Consider the following 25,595-nt stretch of genomic DNA (forward strand, 5'->3'; position numbering starts at 1 on the left):
TGATCAACTAAGCTAAGCACCTAAGATTCAGAAGGGATTTACTGTCCCAGAGGCTAACACATTTAACCGAGAGCTCTCATCCCATCCTAGGCAGCTTTCCTAAGGATCAGATAACATCCCACACAATTTGTAGAGCTTCTTCCTTAAACGTGCTGTGAATCCCACCCACCACACATGCCACTAGCTATAAGACTGTGGGTAGGTCACTTCTCTTCATCATGCCTCAGTTTTCCGGAGCAATGTCCCCCATTGCTCTAGTAGTCTATGGTTCTGTGAAACTTCATTGGGTTCTTTCTGCTGCACTAAACTACAGAATCTAACCTGTGGTCTGAAGATTCCAGCCCCAGGAATAGATGTCACTTTTTAACCCATAAAATCACTGTGCTTCCATAAAATCATTTTATACACTGATATTCGGAAGAGTAAGTGTCTGTTTGGAAAGGGTTGTCAACCACAAATGTGGAAAACAGACAAAGAAGGTAATTTGTATTAAGTACTTTCAGCCAAGCACTCTGTCAGGCAAGCTGTACACATCATTTCATTTAATCTCTCCTAATAGCTCTGCAAGGTTGGCATAACTGTTTCCATTTTACAAATTGGAGAAACTGAGGCTGGCAGCAGGCAAGAAGCTCGTCTGAAGTCATAACAGTTGAAAAGTGACAAAGTCACTTTCAAGCCAACTTCACTTGGCACAAAGACGGTGTTCTCATAACTACAGCAAGGAAAACGTATAAAAATAAAGTTTCTCAGAATGTGATTAGCAATGTGATAAGCAGCATCCTGTGAGTACACAGGCTGTATCCCATTATTCTCCTACCCTCACTCAGTTCCGCAAGAAGACAATCGGCCTCCTTTAGTGTGACCACAGAAATAGAAAAGGCCATATTTCCTAATATTTGTGTTAGGAGCTGATGATAAATGATCATGCAACTAATAACACATCGATCTTACTTCACATGTCTCGATTTATCTCGTAATTTGGTTAAAATAAGAGATGGTTCAGGAATATTTCTAAAAATATCAATAAGCCCTGATGTTCTGACTAATAATCAAAAAACCTCATAAGATGAGTTTAGGACCAAATGCTTTTGTGCTACTTTCCAAGAATTTCAAGATTAAATCTTCTTGCAGGAGTATCATCAGTAGTTCCAAAAAATATTTTTTTTTGGCTTGAATAAAGCCAGTAAAGGAAAGTTTTCAAAAATAAAAACCCCTGGCATGGGTACATGATTCTACAGTTTACAAAGTCTTCTCATGCTGATTATCTCATTTGAGTCCCTCCAAGCTATCTAAATCTGTCAATCTAAACAATCTGTTAAAAGTACAGGAATTAATGACCCCTGATATATTTGAATACAGTGAGCAATATTAATTGAGAGCCTGGTGTGTGCCAAGTTCTTTGCTAAGGGCTGTAGACACAGTAGTGAACTAAACACACACAGTCCCTGCTCCCACAGAGCTTCCAGTCTAGTCATTACACAAACATTACACACAGTCGTTACACAAATAAATATACGAATGAGAGCCAGCATATTATGAAACTCATCCAGTAGAAAAAGCTGGCAACCTCCAGTAAGCAAACCTCCAGTCTTCTGTCTTCAAGATTACTAATGTTACTTACATGGTTATTTCATTTATTAGAGTCTTGATTTTTCACATTTGTAAAACAGCATGATGTTGGTACCTACCTTATCTGGTCATGGTGGGGATTAAAGAAGATAACACATGTGAACATTCACCAAACAGTAGGGGCTCAAGAACTGTTTCTTCCCTTCTCCACCCTGACCTCCCCCTTCCCTTCCAAAGCTCAACTTTGGTGACAGGACTTCCCTGCCTACCCCATCCCTCACCTACTGAGATATCTTTTCTCTCAACTGCAATAGATCTTGAGATCTTGATGTCTACTTCACTCCTTTAAGAATTAAAAAATAACTTATTTTTATTGTTTTCTTATTTTTCTTGTTATAAAAGCAATACGCTCTCATTGCAAAAAAAAATATGATACTATAGAGATGGCAAAAAAAGGAAGATAGAAAAATGAAGCAATTGCCTTCAACTCAGAGATAACCACTCTATTTGTATTTTATGTATTAATACAACCTAACATATTTCTAAGCATATTTTCATTAAAAATGTTTTCATAACGATTTTATAATATGGTTTTCTGCTACCTACTATATCATAAGCATCTTTCCACTGAAATAAATATGCTTTTGCATTATTTATACTATTCCATTGCATGGATGGAGGCTATCATTTTCTTAATCAATCTTAATATTTGCATGTTTAGGTTGTGTACAACTAATGTTGCACTGAATATTTATTCTCATAGCCATTTTTTGTTTACATATTCTGAATTCTTTTTGTTAGTATTCACTCAGCTCTTTTGACACAAAGCATTGTCCTGATCATAAATTCCATTAATTTATGGTCCATCTATGTCTTGTACTGCTTAAATTCTTCCTAGAACCCAGAATGATTCCTCGAAAATTAAAATTTATCAAGTTCAGACTGATGAACCTGAATATCCCATAGACTTTCTCTTTGAAGAGCTAAAGCTGTGCTGTCCCATGTGCTAGCCACTAGCCATGTGTGTGACTGTTTAAATTTTTAAAATTTGAAATTAAATAAAACTGAAGATTTAGTTCTTTGGCCACACCTGTCACATTTTGAATGCTCAATGGCCACATGTAGGGGTGTGCCACATTGGACAGTGCAGCCGTAGAACATTTCCATCATCCCAGCAAGTGCTGCCGGATAGTGCTGGTCCACAGGGATAGTGGTTATAAATTTGCTTTGAAAAAAAACAGATTAAAGAAGTCACTCCTGCTCCCCCATCCAATTCTCTTTTAGGCAGAACCATAATGACTCTAAAACATAGATCCAGCTCTCTGTGATCTCTGTTTATAACTCTTCTATGGGATAAAACCCATGCTCTTCCTCTTGCCTCTCCCATCAGCTGAATCTCCTTGTCTCCCTCCTCTCCTTCTCCTCCACCACATTGAACAACTCCACTCACACTTCTGTGCTTAAGCAAATCATGCCATCTGCCCAGAAGACCCTTCCTTTCTGTCTGTGATTGGCTAAATTCCATTTGTCCTTTAAGACTTGGCTTAAGCAAATGCTTCCTCTGGCAAGTCTCTCTGGACACTTCCAGGCTGTGCTAAGTTCCCTTCCACTGCAGTCCACAGCAATGAAGACATATTTACATTACGCTAAAGAAGTTTAAGCCTTAGGCCCGTTCCACGTTTCTGGCAGAAGCTCTAACAGTGCATTCGCATACTTGTATATTTTTTGTAAAATTGGCAAAAATAAGATATTTTAACTGGAATCCTTTAGGAAACTCTTCCCTCTCATTATATTTCCCTTCATGTCAATGGCATTGCTATGGCTGCAGCATTTGCAGGATAGCTTTGTGGAAGGTGAGTTGGTAATGTGTCTCTTTATCTGCAAATGGAGAGACATTTCATGTCAATTAAATAAGTAAGAAATGACAGAGTCCTGATGATAATATATATATAAAGGTACCTTTGTCATTTTTAATTTAGATATTAAATAATGGATACAAAGTTCACATAAAAAATTGAATATGAAATAACAGCAATTCATAAGAGTGACAAGAATTGGTACAAATTATTCTGACCTCAAGAAGTAAATTGCCAGAAAAAAAAAACAATCAGACCATACCTAAGGTAGTAAATTCACTAAGAAAACATTTTTAATAGAGTAATCAATAGGCTCTCAGATAGTTTGGTAGTCCAATTAATAAAGAGGAGTGAATCCTATAAACACATTGGAAAAATATTTATGTTCCCTCCTGGTTTAACTGACACTGACAAAGCAATAAATTCATAATACACCACTAAACAAGGCAACAAGGACAAACTTGTTAATAAATGTCATCAGTGAAAAGAGCGTGGTAGGCTAAATTGGCTACCCCAAAAAGGTGCTCATTTTGTAATGCCCAGAACCTGTGAATATGTTCTCTTACATCACCAAAAGACCCTTGCAGATGTTATTAAGGTTATAGCCTTAAAATGGGGAGATTATCCTGGATTATCTGGATGGACCTAATCTAATCACATGAGTCTTAAGAATGGAAAACAGAGACAGAAGAGTAGGTCATGAAAGGATACATGAAAGAGAACACTGTGGACTTTAAAGACAGAGGAACAGGATCTCTAGTCAAAGAATGTGGGTGGCCTCTAGAATCTGGGAAATGCAAAGAAATGGCTTCTCCTCTAGAGCTTCCAGAAAGGAATGCAGCCCTGCTAGAACACTGATTTCCCTCCAGTAATATCTGTGTTAGACTTCTGACCCACGGGACTAAAAGGTAATAAATGTGCATGGTTTTAAGTCATTACATTTATGGTAATTTGCTAAAGCAACAGTAGAAAGCTATTAAAAAGAGAGTTTAGAATTTGTCAGTACATAGAAATGCCCTGAAACCTGATTGCTCATGTAAGAAGAAAACTTCAGAAATTTTTCAAAATTGGATAACAATTCTAAAAATTTACAAGACTTATTAATGGGCTCCGAGGCTGAAGCTTTTCTAAGCTATTAGTTATGTAAAATAAAAATACCTTGTGCATTGATTTAAAGGAAGGACTGAATTATCTTTCCATTTTTCTCCAAATAAAATATTACAAAACTATTACATGTAGAAACAATCAGAGAATATACAGTCAAAAGTAAAGAAAAAATATTATAAATATGGGTCAGGCATTTAACTGATAAAAATACAGTATGATATGGTCTGGCTGTGTCCACACCCAAATCTCAACTTGAATGGTAGCTCCCAGAATTCCCATATGTTGTCAGAGGGACCCAGGGGAAGGTAAATTGAATCATGGGGGCTGGTCTTTCCCGTGCTATTCTCGTGATAGTAAGTAAGTCTCACGAGATCCGATGAGTTTATCAGGGGTTTCCACTTTTTCTTCTTTCTCATCTTCTCTTGCTGCTGCCATGTAAGAGGTGCCTTTCACCTCCTGCCGTGATTCTGAGGCCTCCCCAGCCATGTGGAACTGTAAGTCAAATTAAACCTCTTTTTCTTCCCAGTCTTGGGTATGTCTTTATCAGCAGCGTGAAAATGGACTAATACACAATCTCTGTCTTCATCTGGGAGATTTTAGGGCTATCCCTGTATATTAGGTTGAGTTTCCCCAGAAGCAAATCCTGAGACAGGGAGAATCCAAACAGTTTGAGACAGGATACCAGCACCAAGAACGGCTCCACAAACAAGCAACCTATGCAGTTGCCCGAGGCCTGTGCTCAAAAGGGTTTTGCACTTAGTTTAATGCTCTGCTATTACCATTTCGAAATTCTTAATAATTTTTCAACAAGGGCCTCACAATTTTAATTTGCACTGGATCCTGAAAATCCTGTAGCTAGTCCTGACCACAAAATACTAGCAGGAGGGTGAGAAAATGACAGAAAGGAAGATAACTTCTAGAATGTGTTATTGGGCAAGTTGTTGCTGTGGTATCTGGAGCCCAATCACAGTGGGGAGCTCTAGGAGTTTGCGTGGGAAATGTTTGACAGTTGTCCCATGCAACAGGTGTTTATCCTCCAACAAAATATTCATCCTTCACCACCTAGGGGTGGCAGGCTCCCAGAGGCATTAACTCCCCCACACTTCCATCCCACTACCTTCAAACATTGGGAGGAGAGGTGCAAGAGCTTGTAGTAGGAACCTGAGGCATTTACTAGAAAACTGAGTGTCAAGAAAATGTGGTTAGGTCCCCACATTGAGTGCTTCTGTTGACTTTTTGTAATTTTTAATTTGTTGTAATATCTATTCTTATACCAAATAAATATTCAGTTTTATAAAGAATTTTCTATTTCTAATTGTCTTTTTTCTTTTAAAATACTCATTATGTATATAAGCTTCAGGTCCCATGAAACTGAATCCATCTATACCTTCATGATAAAAATTACCAGTACAATTAAAATTATTTCCTTTGCCATCTATTTCATTGGGCCAAACATATTCCTCTAGAAGTCCTTAGCTCTGAGAAGATCATGTTTTCAGCCATCACCTCCCTCACTTACAATTCAATATAAAATAACATTAGTCAAAATCAGTGCCTTCAAAGCGTCTGGTAGGGCCTCAGGGTATGGATTTGGAAGTTGTACACTGCACAATTCTAGGGCCCACCATTTATATCTTAGTTTCTTTGAAGAGTACCTTCTGGAATTGTGCAGTACACAATATGCATGATAGCCCTGCAGACTTCTGATACCTAATGTGGCCATCAAAGTCCACTTTATTTTCTGACATTAAATGCTTATCCATTTTATTTCTGTTCCAAATATTTCCATCTCTCCCTCCACTGAGCTCTCATTGTTTTTGCGCTTCCTTTGGTAGAGTGTTTACTATACTATTTTTTAATCAGTGATTTTCCCAGCTAGACTGAACTTCTGGAAAATATGGGATTTTCCGCTATTAATCTTTACATCCATAATGCTGTAGCGTCTAGTATAGTTGCCTATGTTATCTTACTCATCATTGCATTATGCCTGAATCATAGTAAGTATTCAATAAATATTAATATCCAATAAATACTAGTTGACTGAGCATACAATAATGAGTGAATGAACAAATGAATCTTTACATTCTATGTGTCTGTATCATTTTACCCTATTTTCCTACCTAGCACTTCTGACCATGTTTATTTAGTTATTTATTTTTTCTCTATACCCAAAATTCATGTTCCATGAGGGTAGGGAAACTTAATGTTTTGTTTATTTATGTAATCTTATAACTGTTTGGTGCCTGGAACACTAGAAGGTGCTTGAAAAAAAAAGTTTGTATTAAATCAATAAATGAGAAAACAGACTACCCAATAAACTACAATTATTCCCATTTTATGGACAAGGAATGAGGTTCTTGGAGTTAAGCAGCTAGTAATCGTCAGCACCCTTATTCAATCTCAAGTTGGTTTGACCCCAAAATGCATCCTCTTTCCATTATTCCATCCTCCCTCTCATTACAGTAAGAGTCCTCTTAACTGTACTCTCTTATTTAAGACTAACTTGGTCACTCTTAACTTGTGCACACATGTTGGCTGAGGCCCACAAACCTGAGAGCTCTAGCTAATAAGCTACATGCTATAAATCACATACTTCTGGACTCATCCATTCGGTTACATGTTCATCAAAAGTCACCTGTACATGTCTATCAAGCCAGTTCCCACCATTTTCTCCCCTGAGAAATGGGGGTAATCATATCATTGTCCTTACAGGCTAGTTGTGACAATTAATAAGTGAATTTAGGTCAAGCACTGAGAACAGTAGAAGCCCTCAGAGTTAGCTAATATTGCATGTATGTATTTAATAAAATAATCTACAACCTGTGGAATCCGAGTATTAAAAAGGAAATTAGTGTTTCTATGAAAACTAAGTTGAATTCATTGAAAATTTTTGGTAAAGGCAAGTTGATTTTTTTTTTTAGCCACTTAGGTTTTTTTTTAACTTTTATTTTAGGTTCAGGGGTACATGTGGAGATTTGTTTTATAGGTAAATTGCATACTCAATGTTTGTTCTCACTTATAAGTGAGAATATGCAGTGTTTGGCTTTCTGTTCTTGTGTTAGTTCACTTAGGTTAATGGCCTTCAGCTCCATCCATGTTGCTGCAAAGGACATGATCTTGTTCTTTTTTATGGCTGGATAGTATTCCATGGTGTATATGTACCACCCCAAAGAAATATACCATTTTCCTTATCCAGTCTGCCATTGATTACTTAGATTTTTAACATGCTCAATACATAGTTGTTATTGCTTATTAGTGTCCATACATTTTGTTGAAAAGACTCAAACAGCAGTTTTTGTTCATTAGAGTACAACCATCCCATTACTGGGTATATACCCAAAGGACTATAAATCATGCTGCTATAAAGACACATGCACACGTATGTTTATTGCGGCACTATTCACAATAGCAAAGACTTGGAACCAACCCAAATGTCCAACAATGATAGACTGGATTAAGAAAATGTGGCACATATACACCATGGAATACTATGCAGCCATAAAAAATGATGAGTTCATGTCCTTTGTAGGGACATGGATGAAATTGGAAATCATCATTCTCAGTAAACTATCGCAAGGACAAAAAAACCAAACACCGCATGTTCTCACTCATAGATGGGAATTGAACAATGAGAACGCATGGACACAGGAAGGGGAACATCACGCTCTGGGGACTGTTGTGGGGTGGGGGGAGGGGGGAGGGATAGCATTAGGAGATATACCTAATGCTAAATGACGAGTTAATGGGTGCAGCACACCAGCATGGCACATGTATACACATGTAACTAACCTGCACATTGTGCACATGTACCCTAAAACTTAAAGTATAATAATAATAAAAAAGAAAAAAAAATTGTACATAAAAGTCATTTCCTGAACATAAGTCAGAAGTCTCAATAATAAAAGGTTTTTCTGTAAACTAACATTCAAAAGAGCCTCAAACCCAAGAATGGTCTCTATGTGTGTACTCTAATGGGCAAGTTGATTTTTTAAAATTTTTGCTAAATTAATTGTTGGTAAAAACAACCATAAAATATTAGAGGAAAAAAATTATGAATAGAAGTCTAAAGTCAAATAACTTCAAAAGTATCTTTAAGCTCCTGATCCACTTAAAGGAAACTAGAACTAGAAACATGGATGATGTATTATGGGTGTTTTTGTTTGTTTGTTTTTTGTTGTTTGCCTGTTTGTTTTTGGAAAAGAAGACTAAAACCAATAAACAAACTTGGCTTTGTATCAGAATATGGGTGAGTAAATATGCAGACATAAGTTTTAAGTTAAAAAAATGTAGGTGTACATGTGTACTTTTATTAAATGCTTATTTCCTTTTCAAAAAAAACTCTTTTTGATTAACTTATCAAATACAGATCCTGTTCTTGATAAATACAGGACTTCTAATACGGATGGATGCTCTAACAATCAAGTGAGTGAATAAATGAATGAATGGTTATGCATAAATGAATGATGAAATGAATGTCTAAATAAATTGGTCAGTTCTCTTAACAAGTGACCTATTTTATATCCCACAGTGCTAACCAAGGATGAAGACTTCTGCTATTTGGCATTCACAGAGCTTGTTGGAGCTTATAAGTAAACAAGTGTGGGGACAGCTTCTTTCGGTTTTCTCTTTCTTTTCAAGTTCCTAAAGCTCTTCTCTTCTCTGCTATCATTTTCCCTTTCTTCACCTGCTTCTATGGATGAAAGAAACTTAGTGAAATAAAAAGCTCAATGAGATGAAAATACATCTCATAAAAACCCCCGTTAAAGAGTTTACTGAAGGGGCTTACACTCGCCTCGCTTAAATGGCCATACTTTATTCCTCCCAAGGAAATTGAACACGCTTAATCCAAAAAGAATGTAATAACAATCAAAGAGCAAGAGGCAGGATCAGGTCGCAATCCTTTATTTTTGAAAGAGTGTTCAGGGGAAGGGATGGGAAGAAATTTATCACTAGCTGTTCTAGAGCCTTGTGAATGTCAACGTTAAATCTTCTGCCTGACTTCCTCGACCTCAGCTTGATGAGCAAAGCAAGATTCCCTGTTGAAGGGGAAACCTGTGTAGGACTGAAAATGAAAGGACTGAGGTATAAACAATGAATTTAGAATATAGCTTTACAAATAATAAGTATGTCGCATTAATGGATTTTTCTTAATTGGATGAAGCAATGTAGAGAAGGAGAAAGAACATGAGACTGGGGATTGAACAGAACTGGGTCCAAATCCTGACTAACCCATTTAGTGTTCTCGTGTTCCTAGGCAGGTTATTTAGTCTCTTTGAGACTCAGTTTTCTCATCTGTTAAATTAAGATAATAATACCTGTTTGGAAAGGCTACAGTGAGGACAGGATTATATAAAATATTGAATATAAATTATATATTATGAGGCCAGTCTCAAAATAGGTCCTGTTTCTTGGAAAGTCAGCATTCCTTGATTTTTTTTCCGTAATTTTAATTTTTATTTTAGATTTGAGGGTACATGTGCAGGTTTGTTACCTGGGTATATTACATGATGCTGAGATTTGGAGTATAATTGATCCCGTCACCTAGGTATTGAGCATAGTGCCCAATAGTTTTTCAACCCATTCCTCGCTTCTTCCCTCCCCTCTCTAGTAGTTCCCAGTGTCTGTGGTTGCCATCTTTATAACCATGAGTACACAATGCTTAGTTCCTACTTGTAAGAGAGGACATACGGTAGTTGGTTTTTTGTTTCTGCATTAATTTGCTTAGGATTATGGCCTTCAACTACATCCATGTTGCTGCAAAGGACTATGGCTGCATAGTATTCCATGATATATATGTATCACGTCTTCTTTATCCAATCTACCATTGATGAGCACCTAGGTTTATTCCATGTCTTTGCTATTGTGAATAGTGCTGCAATGAATATATGAATGCATGTGTCTATTTGGTATAACAACTTATTTTCTTTTGGCTATATATCCAGTAATGGGACTTCTGGGTCAAATGGTACTTCTGTTTTAAGTTATTTGAGACATCTCCAAACTGCTTTTCACAGTGGCTAAATCAATTTACATTCCCACCAGTGGTGTACAAGTGTTCCCTTTTCTCTGCAGTCTCCCAAGCATCTGGGTTTGTTTGTTTTCTTTTGGTTTTTGTTTTTTGGTCTTTCTAATTATAGCCATTCTGACTTGTGTGAGATGGTCTCTCATGGTTTTAATTTGCATTTCTCCAATGACTAGTGATGTTGAGCATTTTTTTGTGTTCTTGGCCATTTGTATGTCTTCTTTTGAGAAGTATGTGTTCATGTCCTTTGCCCATTTTTCAATGGGGTTGCTTTTTACTTGTTCAATTGTTTAAGTTCCAAATATTAGACCTTTGTCAGATGTCAAGTTTGTGAATATTTTCTCCTATTATGTAGGTTGCCTGTTTACTCTGTTGATAGTTTTTTGTTTTTTGTTCTTTGGGGGTTTTTTTGCTATAAAGAAGCTCTTTAGTTTAATTAGGCCTCACTTGTCAATTTTTGTTTTTGTTGCAATGGCTTTTGAGGACTTAGTCATAAATTCTTTCCCAAGGCTGATGTCCAGCATGGTGTTTTCTAAGCTTTCCTTCAGGATTCTTGCAGTTCGAGGTCTTACATTTAAATCTTTAATTCGTCTTTTGTTAAATTTTGTATATGGTGAAAGGGGGAGTCCTTTCCCCACTGCTTATTTTTGCCAATTTTGCTGAAGGTCAGATGGCTGTAGGTGTACAGATTTATTTCTGGCTTGTCTATTCTGTTCCATTGGTCTATCCATCTGTTTTTATACCAGTACTGTGCTGCTTTGGTTACTGTTGCCTTTACCATAGTTTGAAGTGGGATAATGTGATGCCCTCAACTTTATTCTTTTTGCTTAGGATTGCTTTGCTCTTTTTTGGTTCATATGAATGTTACAATAGTTTCTTCTAATTCTGTGAAAAATGACATTTGGTAGTTTGATAGAAACAGTGTTGAATCTGTAGATTGCTTTGGGCAGTATAGCCATTTAATGATAGGGAGTCTAACAATGTTTTTCCATTTGTTTCTGTCATCTACAATTTCTTTCATCAGTGTTATGTAGTTCTTGTAGAGAACTTTCACTTTCTTGGCTGGATGTATTTCTAATATTTTTGCAGCTATTTTAAATGGGATTGCATTCTTGATTTGGCACTCAGCTTGAAAGTAATTGATGTATAGAAATGCTACTGACTTTTGTACGTTAATTTTGTACCCCAAAACTTTACTGAAGTTGTTTATCAGTTCCAGGAGCTTCTTGGCAGAGTCTGTAGGGTTTTTTCTGGTATTGCATTGTATCATCAGTAGAGAGAGCTCAACTTCTTCTTTTCCTATTTGGATGCCTTTTATTTCTTTTTCTTGCCTGATTGCTCTGGCTGGGACTTCCACATTCCTTGATTAGGATTTTAATTTCATCCTGCATCCAAAATCTTACCCATATTGATAACTTAAGGAGTACTGAGGAGTATTGGTAATTTTAAGTAGGCAAGTCTTTGCCCTTGCAAAATGCATTTAATCTGTTCTTTATATGGGTATATGTGACCCACATATAGCAACAATATTATGAAGAATCTGAGGTTTAGAGTGGTTAATTAACCTGCCTAAGACCACAGCCAATAAGAGACAGAATTAGAAATTGAATGCATATCTGTTTCACTTCCCTATACTTCTATACTTTTCTGGATTCCCCAGTATTGTATTATATATCAAACAGATTGTATTTGCAAATATAAGCAAAAGAACACAGTCTTTCTTTTTCTTTTATTTTTTTTTTTTTTGAGACAGAGTCTCACTCTGTTGTCCAGGCTGCAGTGCTGTGGCACGATCTCAGCTCACTGCAACTTCCACCTCCCAGGTTCAAGCGATTCTCCTGCCTCAGCCTCCCTAGTAGCTGCGATTACAGGCACACACCACCATACCCAGCTGATTTTTGTATTTTTAATAGAGATGGGGTTTCACCGTGTTGGCCTGGCTGGTCTTGAACTCCTGACCTGAGGTGATCCACCCACCTCGGCCTCCCAAAGTGCTGGGATTACAGGTGTGAGCCACTGCACCCAGCCCAGTCTGTCTTTTTCTAATCTGTCTAATCCTGGCAGTCAAGCTGCAAGCAGGAGCTGCAGTCATCTGACGGCTCAACTCGGTCTGGAAGATCCTCTTCCAAGGTTCACTCACATGGAAAGCAGTTGGTGCTTGTTGTCAGCCAGGTTGGCTGAGTTTTCCCCCATGTCAGCTCTTATCCTCCTGGGCCTTCTGCTGCATTTGGCCTCTCCTTCAGAACAACCTGGACTTCTTTACATGGCAGCTGTATTCCAATAGAGTAAGAGCTAGACAACCTATCAACATGTGAGAAAGAGCACCCAAGACAGAGGCCACAGTCTTTTTATAACCCAATATTGGAGGTGAGATCCCATCACTTTTGCAGTGCTGAATTCATTGCAAGTGAGTCGATAAGTCCATCCTACACTCAAGAGGAGGAGATTATACAGGATGATGAATATTAAGAGGTGAAGATTACTGGGCACTTCCTCAAGGCTGTCTACCAGAAATATATAATTACAAATCAACAAAAACCAGATATAAAATTTAACAAAAAATAAGACAAGAAAGATGCAGGTGCTTTAGAGAAGAATAAACTGGAATGGTTAATACACATGAAACAATACCTAACCTCACTCACACTTAAAGAAATGCACTTTAAAACATTAAGATGCCAGTTTTCCCTTATAATATCAGCAAATATTAAAAAGTCTGATAGCACCCAGTATTGATGAGCATGTGAGGAAACAGCTATTTGCTGTAGAGGCTATTTACTGTCAGAAGACAATTTGGCAATATCTCTCAAAAATAATAATGTACATACCATTTAACCAAGAAATACTGCTTCCTGAAATATACTATACAGATATGTTTGCAAATAAATACACATAATAATATTCACTGATGCAAATTTTAATAGACAATTACTGAAAACAAAAGAAGCTTGGTGAAATACATCACAGAAAGCTATGCAGCTGTTTAGAAGAGAGAGTCAGATTTTTACAGGCTGATAATAAAGAGCTCTTTGTTACTTTATTAAATGAAGCATAAGGGACAGAGGATAATTTATAATATGATTTATTTTGAAAAGAAGAAAACATATGGACATTTATATATACAGAAGTCTTTCTGAAGGATATGTAAGAAAAATGTAACAGCACTTCATTCTGGAGAGAAGAATAATCATTTTTACAAGGGTTAATTTTTTAACAGGATGAATTTAATTATTATATAATTTAAAATACTAATTGGAAAAATTGAAGTCTTAACTATAGTCGATATACTAAAAAAAAAAAAAACCCAGCAGGCTGACAATGAACCTGATTTGACAGAGAAGCATCAGCCGAGGCTTAGGGAAAGGGAAAGAAAGGAAAAGAATACTGATTTAGTCATCACCCACTAAGCTCCAGGCACTTTTGCTTATGTCACCTCGCACCACCTACAGTACACTGTAACCGCAGAGAATGACACACTGGCCTCTGACTACCCTACAAAATTCCCTTCCCTGCAAAAGTTGATTCCTTGGCCTGGACTATCCTTCCTTACTCTTTCACATGCTGAAGTCAAAGAAGATGCTATAAATGTCTCCCTAGAGATTACAACTTCGAGTTTATCCTTTTTTATAAAAAATTGGATTTCTAGTTTGTAATTAAAAAAAAAAAACACTGTGAATTCCAAACCAGCCTAGGTGAACCCCTGCTCAGTCATCTCTGTTCCCAAAGGACACTCTGAGAGCCTTGGCTCTCCATGGATGGAAAGCAGGACTCATGAGTTCAGCTGACCTCAGTCTCTAGGGCTATGGTCTTACTTACAGGTATGCAGGTCCTTGTCTGGTTGACAGTGATAGGCACATAGCATGCCTTCAGTAAATGCTTGTTGTAAGATAATGGGACTGAGCTGGTTTGAAAATTACCACCTCTGCATGGATTCTATCCAAACCAACATCATCAGCCAGCACAGAAGCACAGGAGGAGCAATGACGGGAACAGGATCATCATTTCCATGAAACTCCTTGGAAGGAGCCATTAGTTTCTCCCTCTGCAATCCTCATCAGCCCCCACCCCAATTCTTTGCTATGGACAAGCATAGGGTGGTGTGAACAGATTTGTGATAAATCCCCTGGTTCCTTCATCCTCTTTTCACAAAGGTTGATGCCTTCCTTGAATCCTTTCCATGATGAAAACTCAGGAGCTACTTCTGATGCAGGGAATAAAGACACCAGGATCCATTTTGTACATGTTGAATTTGAGGTGCCTGTTGGACAGGACAAGGAAGAAGAGTAGGAAAAGGATAATTCTTCCAGGCAGGGGGCAAAGGGGACAGCATGAACCAGAGCCATGAGGGTGAGAGGACCCCAGGGAAATGGCTGGGAGCAGGGTCTGGACATGAAGCAGGGACAGCCACCCTGACATCCATTTGTAACGGCAAGAACCTCGCTGGTGCAGCAGCCAGGAGAAGGCAGCCAGCCTGCAACGGAAGGCGCCCCTCCCACCTTCTCCACCACAGGACAAAGGGCCATTTTGATTTGGGGCCTCACTATTTTAACACCAAAGATTTTCATTTGGCAGTCACTGTTCATACAACGCACACTCTCTTTCCTCTGACATAAATTCTTTCTTTAAGAAGAAAAAGAAGAAAGGCCCCATCATCACAGCCTGCGGTGCCAGACAATGGCGGGAGCGTGGCTGCCAGCGCCCATGAAGGGGCCAGTGTGCTCGCAGCAGCCTCCTTATCTCCTATCTCCTGCCCGTGCCACAGCTCTTGCTTTTCCTGGGTGTTTTGACCACTTCTCTCCTTCAGCTGCTTTGACAGAATTTGCCGGCTGCCGGCTGACGCAAAACAACCCCCTTCTTGTGCCTGGGCCGCTCTGTCTTCACTCCAGGCCGCAGGGGAGAAAACGTGTCTTTGTGGCTTCCCTTCAATAGCTCTCTGAGTCCAAACCCCTCGTGGGCTCTGGCAGGCCAAGCCTAAGACCCTGTGAATAGATGCTGTTGTTTGCTTCTCTTTGCAAAGCCGGCCTCTGGGCATCCAGAAATGCGTCCACAGCCCAGGCTTGGTAGTTTGGGGACAGATTCATCGGCAAGCTGGCAGATGCCCCGGCCCGTGAAGAATGATGATCACTCGTGTGTGCAGCTCATTCAGGTCCATCCACAAAATGCTTTCAGGCTGCTGATGATTCAATTAACATTTACAGCGGACCTACTCTGTGCCCAGCACAGCCTTTACTGTTTATTATCTCCTCGAGCCCTAAGATTACTCTCCACCACGGGTGCTGTTCTAGTCTCTTCATTTTACAGTGGAGGAAACTGAGTCTCAAAATGGTCAAGTGATTTGCACATGGCCACACAGCTAAAAAGTTACAGAGATCCATTGAGGGGCACCGATAGCTTCAGAGATGTTCAGAATCCCCTGAAAGACATGGTATTCCCTTTTAAGGCACAGAGAAGGAATATAACTTCCACAGACCTAGATGCCGAGTGCCACACCCCCTCATCTAGGGAAAAGGGGGGAAATAACCAACTCTGCTTTCTCTCCCTTCAAGTCCTTCCTTCCCACACTCAACATTGAAAAACCCCTCCAAATAGAAGTGGAGTTTGTCATAAGACTGACAGGTCAAGGTGACCCAACTCTGGTCCTCTATACTACACCATTCTGAACCTAAGCATCTCCAAAGTGTTCAAGGTGGCCTCCACTGGACCATGTCAGGGGGCCTAGGAAACTCCCCAGGCTCAAGTAGCAAGGTTCAAGGTGAGAATGCTCTGGTACTGTGAGCCACGTGGCCACAGTAAGCCACTCCTCTGTGCCTCAGCTTTTCTCTAGCAAAATAGAATGCTGACAATACTGCTCAGGGTGTTGTTGGAAGGATTAAATGAAAGAAAAAAATAGCTGTCAGGGGACAAAACAGCACATAATGGTTACAGCATAGCAGCAAAAGCCACAGTGCATAAATGCTAGTAGCAGAAGCAGGAGCCACGGTAGTAGCAGCAATCTTACCAACAGCCCTGGGGGCTGGAAGTCATCCTCTGTTCTATTAATCATACAACAATCATTTCAGGTGTGTTTACTAGGAACAATGCCTTATTCCAAAAGCCCTCACAGCTCCCTCATATGCACAATTTTTGGTGGTGACAGCAGAGTGGCAAAAGGTGGCCTCATTGATGGCTACCAGCTAGCGAAGAATATGCAATCTGGCTACCAACAATAGACTGATCCAATAGATGTGTTTCATTTGGCACAGAGTTTTGTTTTGTTTTGTTTTAAGGGAGCCAGGATTTTTAAATTGGAAGTCTGACAATACTGAGCCTATATTTCTACAAGGCAGTGATCAGCTAGAGGTGAATAGAGGTGTCCTTTTACACGGCAGGCGTGCTCCAGTTCACCACAGGCCCCACCACTCCCCATTGCTTCATCAACACTGCAGGTCAGTGTCAGTTCCATTCGTTACTGTGATTATGTTGTTGTTGTCCTTATGGTAAATAGTTTGTCCATGGGTATTAGTTAGGGGAACACTAGCTGCTGTAAAAGCAGATCCTCACATATCTCCAAAACTTAATGCAATACAGGTTTATGTTATAGTCTTGCAGCAGTTGATGGTGGTGGTTTTCCTCCACATGAAGACTCAGGGACCCAGGCTCCTTCCATCTTGTAGTTGTGTGATTTCCTTGGGCTTCAATATTTTGCCTTCACCCAAAGAATCGGGAAAGGGAGAGTAGAAAATCCCCATCTGTTTCTTAAGAGCCCTGGGCCAGAGGGGACTGTATTAGTCTATTTTCACACTGCTGATAAAGACATACCCGAGACTGAGCAATTTACAAAAGACAGAGTTTTATTGGATTTACAGTTCCATATGGCTGAGGAGGCCTCACAATCATGGTAGAAGGCCAGGAGGAATAAGTTACATCTTACGTGGATGGCAGCAGGCAAAGAGAGGGCTTGTGCAGAGAAACTCCCATTTTTAAAGCCATCAGATCAGATCTTGTGAGACCCATTCACTGTCATGAGAACAGCATGGGAAAGACCCACCCCCATGATTCCATCACCTCCCACTGGGTCCCTCCCACAACATGTGGGAATTATGGGAGCTACAAGATGAGATTTGGGTGGAGACATGGAGCCAAATCATATCAGGGACATACATCATTTCCTTTCACACTTCATTGGTAGGAGCTAGTCATATGTCTATGCCAGATGCAAGGTGGACAGAGAAATATAAATTCCAAACAGATATCCACCTTTGACAGTAACTGTAGTGTATGAAAGGGAGAACACTTATTTTTTGTTGCTATCTATCTCTCAAAAATTATAGCTCTATAAAAAGCTGGGGAAAATAAATTACAGACTAAGAGCTATATGATTTTTCGTACACTCACCTATTGTACTCATTTATATTCTATCCCTTGCATGTACCTTGATTTTCAGTGTCTGTACTGCAAGCCCAGCAACAGAGCAGGTTCTGATTCTATAGCTCTGAGGTCGAGCCTGAGATTCTGCATTGATAACAAGTTCCCGGTGATTCCAGTAATGCTAGTCTGTGGTCCATACTCTCAGGAACAAAACCCAAGAATTCTAGCCTTCCCAGACTACCTGCCACTTCTCCCAAACTTTAACCCCTCCTATCTGTGCTCCTGTAGCCCTCTTTACTACGCCTGTCATGCTCCAATGAAACTATGTTTATTAATCAGAGGTTATGTCTATTAGTCTGTCTTCCCCAGTAGGTTGTGAGCTTCTCAAGGGCAAAGACTATTATTCATGCTCAATATATGTTTGCTGAAAGAATGCATGAACGTTTCCTAAGAATCTAGCTATATTCTAGGCATGTGATGCTGTATAATCCAGGATACATCCCAGGATACACTGAACAGCCTCTGAAGTGTTTTCTTGTTCCCATCATGGTGAAACATGAGCTCAGAGCTACAAATGTGGCCAAAACATGCTGGCCTCAAAAGACATTAAATCTAATTGGGGAAGTGAGACTTAAGATGGGACTTAAGCCAGATAAAATCTGGGATGCAGGGGACAGCCAAGTACCACTTGCCTGTGGCTCACTCAGAGAATTTGGAGAAGGGAAGACACAGAATTACATGTTCTTCTATATTCAGAATTTTCACTGGTGCCAACCAGGCTCCACCTGTGTTATGGGCTGAATTGTGTCTCTCCAAAATTCAAATGTTGAAGCCCTCCCTATCCTCAATACCTCAGAATGTGACTTTATTTGGAGATAGATTCACTAAAGAGGTAATTATGTTAAAATGAGGTCATCAGGGTGGCCCTTAATCCAGTATTATTAGTGTCATTATAAGAAGAAAAGGCCGGGTGCAGTGGCTTATACCTGTAATCCCAGCATTTTGGGAAGCTGACGCAGTAGGATCACTTGAGCCCAGGAGTTTGAGAACCTGGCAAGATGAGGTCTTGCTATATTGCCCAGGCTGGCAACATACCAAGACCTCATCTCAACAAACAATTTAAAAATTAGCCAGGCATGGTGGTACATGCCTGTGGTCCCAGCTATTTGAGAGACTGAGGCAGGAGGATCACTTGGGCCTGGGAGGTTGAGGCTGCAGTGAGCTGTGATCATGCCACTGCACTCCAGTCTGGGTGACAGAATGAAATCTCTTCTCAAAAAAAAAGAAGAGGAGATTAGAACACAGACACACACAGGGGAAAGGCCACGTGAAGACACAGGAAAAGACAGCCATCTACAAGCCAAGGAGAGAAGACTTAGAAGAAACCAATCCTGCCAACGCTTCAATCTTAGCTTTCAAGCCTACAGAACTATGAGAAAACAAAAAACGCTGTTATTTAAGCCACTCATTCTGCAGTACCTTTGCTTGGGCAGCCCAAGCAAACTAATACAACTTGTCTATTAACTTACTTGCCACTCAGTGTGCTTGCCTTTCAAGGAAGACAGAGCAGAAGAGGAGGAGGGAGGCAGCTGTTTGTCAAGCACCTGAGGTGTGATTGTATTAGGCAACTCACCTTATCTTATTTAATCCCCATCACAATCATGTAAGCAAATAGCCTTATTATCTCCATTTTTTATATAGAGGACAGTGAGGTTCACAGAGCTGAACCTTCCCTATATCACATAGATAGGAGTCGAGGAAGCAAGGTTTGTAACATGGATCCGTTTACCACAAATCCCTAATCTCCCAAGCTACCCCTTGTTCTTCCCTCAAAGTCAGCCAGTGGGCCTACTAAGAAAGTCAAAAAGTAGACTGTGAGAAGGTGCATGGAAAATATTTTTAAATGCTGTATATGTGAGCAGTATTGCAGTCACTAAAACAAATGTGATGCTATCCCTGAACAAAGAGAATGCAAGAAAATGCAGTGAAAAATGGGGCTCCAGCCTCGATACCCACATTCCTAACCTTTTAATGCCAAGCAGCCTATAAGCATGTCAAATTTTACTCATGTTCCTGCTCTTTCCACTCAAGTTGGCTTTGTGGGTTGCTGGTTTTATCAAAATTGAGTGAGAGTGTGTTCAATACAATGTTGGATTCATTAGGGAGAAAAAAGCCAAATAAAAACCTTGCTTCTTCAATGCCAGGAGCTTACAAAGACATATAAACCATGAGGAATTCCAAGGACTTGCTCAGAAGCCGTTCTGCAAATGCATTTCTTGAACAAAGGGCCAATGTTCCTTTCAGGGAAGAGCGCGGGACTGGTTTCCGGCATTTTTCTTTAAATCATTAGGACCATGCCAGCAAACAAACATATACAGCCCCTGGGAGAAAGAATCTCATTCAACACAGCTTACAAGAGTTTGATTATTAGGGAGGGGTGCTTCATGGCACGTGCCTCACCAGCCGGCCCCCAAATGTACAGATCTGTTTAAAGGGCTTTATTGATGGTGGCCGCAGACAGATAGAGCTTGTGAGGAGAACTGACATCCCATGGATACTAACATATCAGCATCATCCTGACCAGCACACAATCCAGTCAGAGAGAGCTGAAAAGTCTGCCTCATTCCCTTGAAAATGTGCTTCTTAAGACAAATAAAATATAGAAATAAGAAATTCACCTCTAACAGGGTTTACATTTCCTTCACCCAGACAATTAAAGGGTTTTGGAGGACCTGGAATGAAATGATGACTGAATCTTTAGCCAGACACATATTTCAGCTTTTAATGAACTGAAAATATTATAGGTTGGGCCCTGAAAACAAATGAGCATTGGATTAAGGCAAGCCATACTTCGAACTCCAGCCCTGCCACATGTTATCTATATGACTTTTATAACTTCTGTAAGCTTTCATATCCTTATCTCTAAAGCAAGGATAGTAATATTACCTCCTACAATCTATAGGAAGATAAAATTTGGTTATATAAGAATGTGGCCGGGTGCGGTGGCTCACCCCTGTAATCCCAACACTTGGGGAGGCTGAGGCAGGTGGATTGCTTGAGGTCAGGAGTTTAAGACCAGCTTGACCAGCATGGTGAAACCTCATCTCCACTAAAAATACAAAAGTTAGACAAGTGTGGTGGCACATGCCTGTAATCCCAGCCACTTGGGAGGCTGAGGCAGGAAAATTGCTTGAACCCAGGAGGCAGAGGTTGCAGTGAGCCAAGATCACGCCACTGCACTCCAGCCTGGGCAACAGAGCAAGACTCCATCTCAAAAAAAGAAAAAAAGTTTAGAGAGTACCTAGCATAAGGGTAAATCCTTAAAATGTGTTACCTATGTTTCCAATTCTTCCTGTCTTCCAAAGAAATTGTTTCAAATACACAGCATGTTTAAATTACACCTAAGATTAGAGCAACACCTTTAGTAGTAGTAGTTAGTGAGGGATAGATTGCTCTACTATAGCAATAGTAGCAGTTGGGAGGAAAGGACTTCTACTCTTCCATACCTTCACCTCTAAATACATTCATTTATTCAAGCAATCTTTATTGAGCAACTGCTCTATACCAGCCACTAAATGGCCACATGGTAGCCAATAGCTCAGTTGCTTTGGGCCCCATGATAGAGCCTCTCTCTAGTCCAGGTAGCATCAGTCTGTCTACTTTATTACTAATTGCCCATTGGTCTCAGAGTGACTGAGTATGTAAGAGTGTTGATGAATCTGTGTGCACTCCCTACCACCCTTGACAAACTCACACAACAATAAACATGTCTACCACAGTCTGAGCCTGGAGGCTGGTGCTAGAGCAGGGAGGGCCACAGAAATGCATAGAAAAGGGTTAACCCTAGGAGGGTAACATATGTGGAAAAATCACCATATGACAGGCAGAAGAATGCAGAGTTATAATGGAAGAGTAAACATCATGCAGAGAGAAATCTGACTGGTGCTACCTGTAGACATTGGGAAGACCTTCAAGGAAGAAATATTGGAGTTAAGACTTGTGGAACTGAGAGATAAGGAGTATTGAAGTAGAGGGAGAAAGATGGGAAGAGCTCTCCTAGCAAAAGAAAGGGTTCAAAGAGGTAAAATTTTGTGGGAGAAAGGACAAATGATCCATTTGTCTCCCCTAGGAAGCTTCTCCAGCACCACTAACTACCCCTCCTCCTATCTGAGTTCAGAGTTCAGCAACTCTTTTGTGTAGTCTAATTTTACCTTTATTATAGCACCAATCACACTGCATTAGAGCATTGTCTTTACTGTTCTGCACCTTCCAAATACACACACATACAGACACACAATATGCATGCAATCATGGGCTGGAAGCTTAATGAAGATTAGGACTTCGTTTTCTATGTTTTGTGCATTAGCATTTAGCACATTGTCTGATAAGTACTCAAATTAAGGGGAAAAAAAAAGACTGTGAGATAAGTCCATTGGTAATGACCTTCAATCAATAAATTAATTTTGATTAGAAGATGCAAGGTACAGAGTGTTACTGTTACTTAAAATAGAGAATGCAAGAATAGAGTACCTTGGTAGACAGATTCAGATACAGATACATGGGCACCCTCATGAATGGGATGCATGGTGCTCAAGAGACAGGCCTAGGCTGGAAATACAGATATGGGATCACCTAACAGAGAGAATCGTTGAATTCAAGTGAGCTAAGCATCTAGGAAGAAAAGAAAATAATGAGAGCCAGTACAGGAGCCAAAAGAACAGAATTTCTAGGAAGAGTTTACAAAGACTTCTCAGAGCACAAACCTCCATCATTGTTGAGTCAGGGTATAAATAAGGAGGGAAAGGCTGATCAGCCACTGGTCAGGAAATGCCAATGGGAAAGGCACATGGTCCCTGGGCTCCTTAGCCCTCGTGGAAAATGTTATCTTTGTACAACCACACACTCCCAAGGGCCCTTCTCCACCCTGGTCCTTCCTCAGCTATTTGTGTTGGCACTGTGGTTTTCCTTTCTGACCCTTCTCATTGAAACCTTGGGAGAAAAGGGGAAGAAAGCCAGGATGTCACAGAAGGACTAGGGTTGGCAGTGGGTGAGGGCTTTGATCCCATGTGGTCTCTGGGGAGGCAGAATGAAGCCATTAGAAAACAATCAACTTTTTAGCCTCCCACTTCCTGGTGACCTCAGCATTTCCATAACTGTTCTGTGCTTCCTCATTCATCTATCAAGTGGATACACATACACACACATCACACACACACACACATTTCACAGTGTCTCCTGGACAATGCAATAGGATTATGAACATGAAAACCTCTCATGTCATGCCTGATACAAAATACGTGCCAAATAAATAGGAGTTTCTTTTCTTTTGGACAAGTCTCATAACTGCCCAAAGTTAGAACGTCTCTGGGCATTCATTCTCTTAGCAGAGAGAGAGGATAAAACTGAGCCCTATGTCTTTCACATGGACATCATGAAGATCAAGATAGAAGTCACTGGGTATTATGTAACGTAGGGATCGCTCAATCCTGATACGCTTTTTCCTTGCCTGGTTCTCCTACCAAATTGGAGGAGCAAGATATGCGCAAAGAGCTGGGACACTAGTGCTGTCGTGTACCTGAAAGAGATTTTTCTTAAATAAGTACATGAATCAATGAATGATGGAAGGATGGAGGGTTAAGTGGGTGCATAGTGGGCCTGAGTTAACTCCTGCAGACACAGAATCTTCCATATTCAAGCTGCTTCAACCTCTGAGTGGCCTCCTGAAAAAGGGGAGGGGTATAGAAATAGAGACTCAGGGATCTGAAGACTATGAAAAGACTTTCTCCTTATTGTGTATACCCACAAACTAACCATTCTTCATCAAGTCTTGTTTAGAAACAGTTGTGCAGCCTGAGAAAATTGGGTTCGACTTGCCATGTAGAATTTTGTTAATGGAGTTGTATAAACATAGCTCTTTATTAATCTAAATTACTGGCCTTCAGGGTGAGTTTATTTTATTTGCACACATGATCTTCAGTCCCTGGGAACCCCAAAGGATAAGTGTGTTCCAATGAGACCAAGCCTTTTGTGAACCACTTAGAAATGGGCCCTTGGGAGGTGCTACATAAACAAAACGTAATGAATTGTTCCCCCTGTCAAAAGTGAACAATTCATAATGTGCCCCTGAATGGAACCAACTGGTCCTCTTGTCAAACACTCTGTACTTTGATGTGCTTTTCATCGGTTAGAAAAAAGAAGAAAATAAAAGTCTTTTTAGTGATTTTTTTCAGAGTAAAAAGAGAGAGAGAAGAAGCTATCAACTACCAAGCTACAAACACCATGCTGAAGAAGCTCTTTGGATATCCTTAATTAGGCTTCCTTGACTAAGAAAAACTTGCATAATTCAATTAAAGTATTCTTTACTTGTGTTAGAAATTATCAAGTATTTTAAATGACAATATTCCTAAATGACCAGTTGGTGCAGTGAAAATAATAACAATATTAATTACTAACACTTATTTCTCTCTTACTGTGTACCAGGTATGGCGAATGCATGGTGAATGCATGCTTTACATATGCAATATTAAGCAATATAATCTAAACAACAGCCCTATAGGATAGCTGCTATTGTTATCCCCATTTTACAAGAGAGAAAACTGAGGCAGAAAGAGATTAAGTGACATAGTCAAAATCAAACAGAAAAGTATGTGGTAAAACCAAGTGTTCAGACCAGGAGATTGTGGGCCTAGGGACCATTCTTGAACCACTATGCCATTAAGAATACTGGACTAGGAATGATGAAAGATGCTTTCAGTCTAGATCCTGCCATTAACTCACTGTATAACCTGGGGCAAGTTACAGAGAGACCACAGTTTTCCCATCTGTAACACAAACGGTTCTCATAAGATAATCTCCATATCAGCTGGGGTTCTATGGCTTCAGTAAACAGAAATCCACTTTCATTAATCTAAACCACAGAAAAAGAGGAGGAGGAAGAAGACAAAAAGGAAGAAAAAGAAAAAGGAAAAGGAAGAAGAAAAGGAATGTATTGGTAAACTATTTAGGCGGCTCAAGAATAGACAAATAGCTAGAGGCTGGAGAGCCAGGCTTGGAAACAGAACATGCATTAGGACAGGAATCAGCATGGTATTGATGGTCTGACTAAAAAGACTACTAACCCATCTCATTCAAGCACTGCTGTGGAAGTAAATGAGCCTCTAATATTTTGTTCCATTCTTATGTCTCTCTTTAACATTTAAAGTCCCTGTGGACCATTCACTTGCCCTTGCTTGAGCCCACCACCCCCTTGCCAGTTTACGCAGGGCACGTGAGTTATAATCTCACCAATACTACACACAACGGAAATGGGTTCCCAAAGAGAATCTGGTCCTGTTAGAAAGGTATAGATTTTTTAAAATCCACTACTGCATCAAGATCACTTTCAAATGAATACATAGATTAAATAAGACATATGAAACGTTTGAACTGGGCCCAATTTACAATCCAAGTGCCATAAATCCTGGAGGTTGTTATAGGAAGGTTGTGGTGGTAGCTACCGCCACTGTGGCTTTTTCTACTGTTGTTTCATTCTCAACATAGAACTGGTAGAATTCTGTGAAATAGCTAAGACTAGGTCAAGGGAATTTGTATCACCGAGTCACTGATCATATATCAATAAAATTTCTATTTTAATGGGGTGTTCCTGCTTGTCAGATATATTGATTAAATTGAGCCCTTTGATTTGATTCCTCCTG

General features: G+C 39.8%; 1 long non-coding RNA gene across 1 annotated transcript in view, besides 1 other annotated feature; it reads right to left on the bottom strand.

Annotated features, from left to right (window-relative positions):
• Positions 1-25,595, bottom strand: part of CCDC26 (CCDC26 long non-coding RNA) — a 328,546-nt gene that overhangs the window by 261,585 nt on the left and 41,366 nt on the right. The window lies entirely within an intron of this gene.
• Positions 18,566-21,793: an enhancer, noted in NCBI's record as "VISTA enhancer hs1709". NCBI's record gives its function as "enhancer in: melanocytes[4/7]" and the evidence as "EXISTENCE:transgenic organism evidence [ECO:0001131][PMID:17130149]".

The sequence above is a fragment of the Homo sapiens genome, chromosome 8 (assembly GCF_000001405.40).
Source record: "Homo sapiens chromosome 8, GRCh38.p14 Primary Assembly".
Classification (NCBI taxonomy): domain Eukaryota; kingdom Metazoa; phylum Chordata; class Mammalia; order Primates; family Hominidae; genus Homo; species Homo sapiens.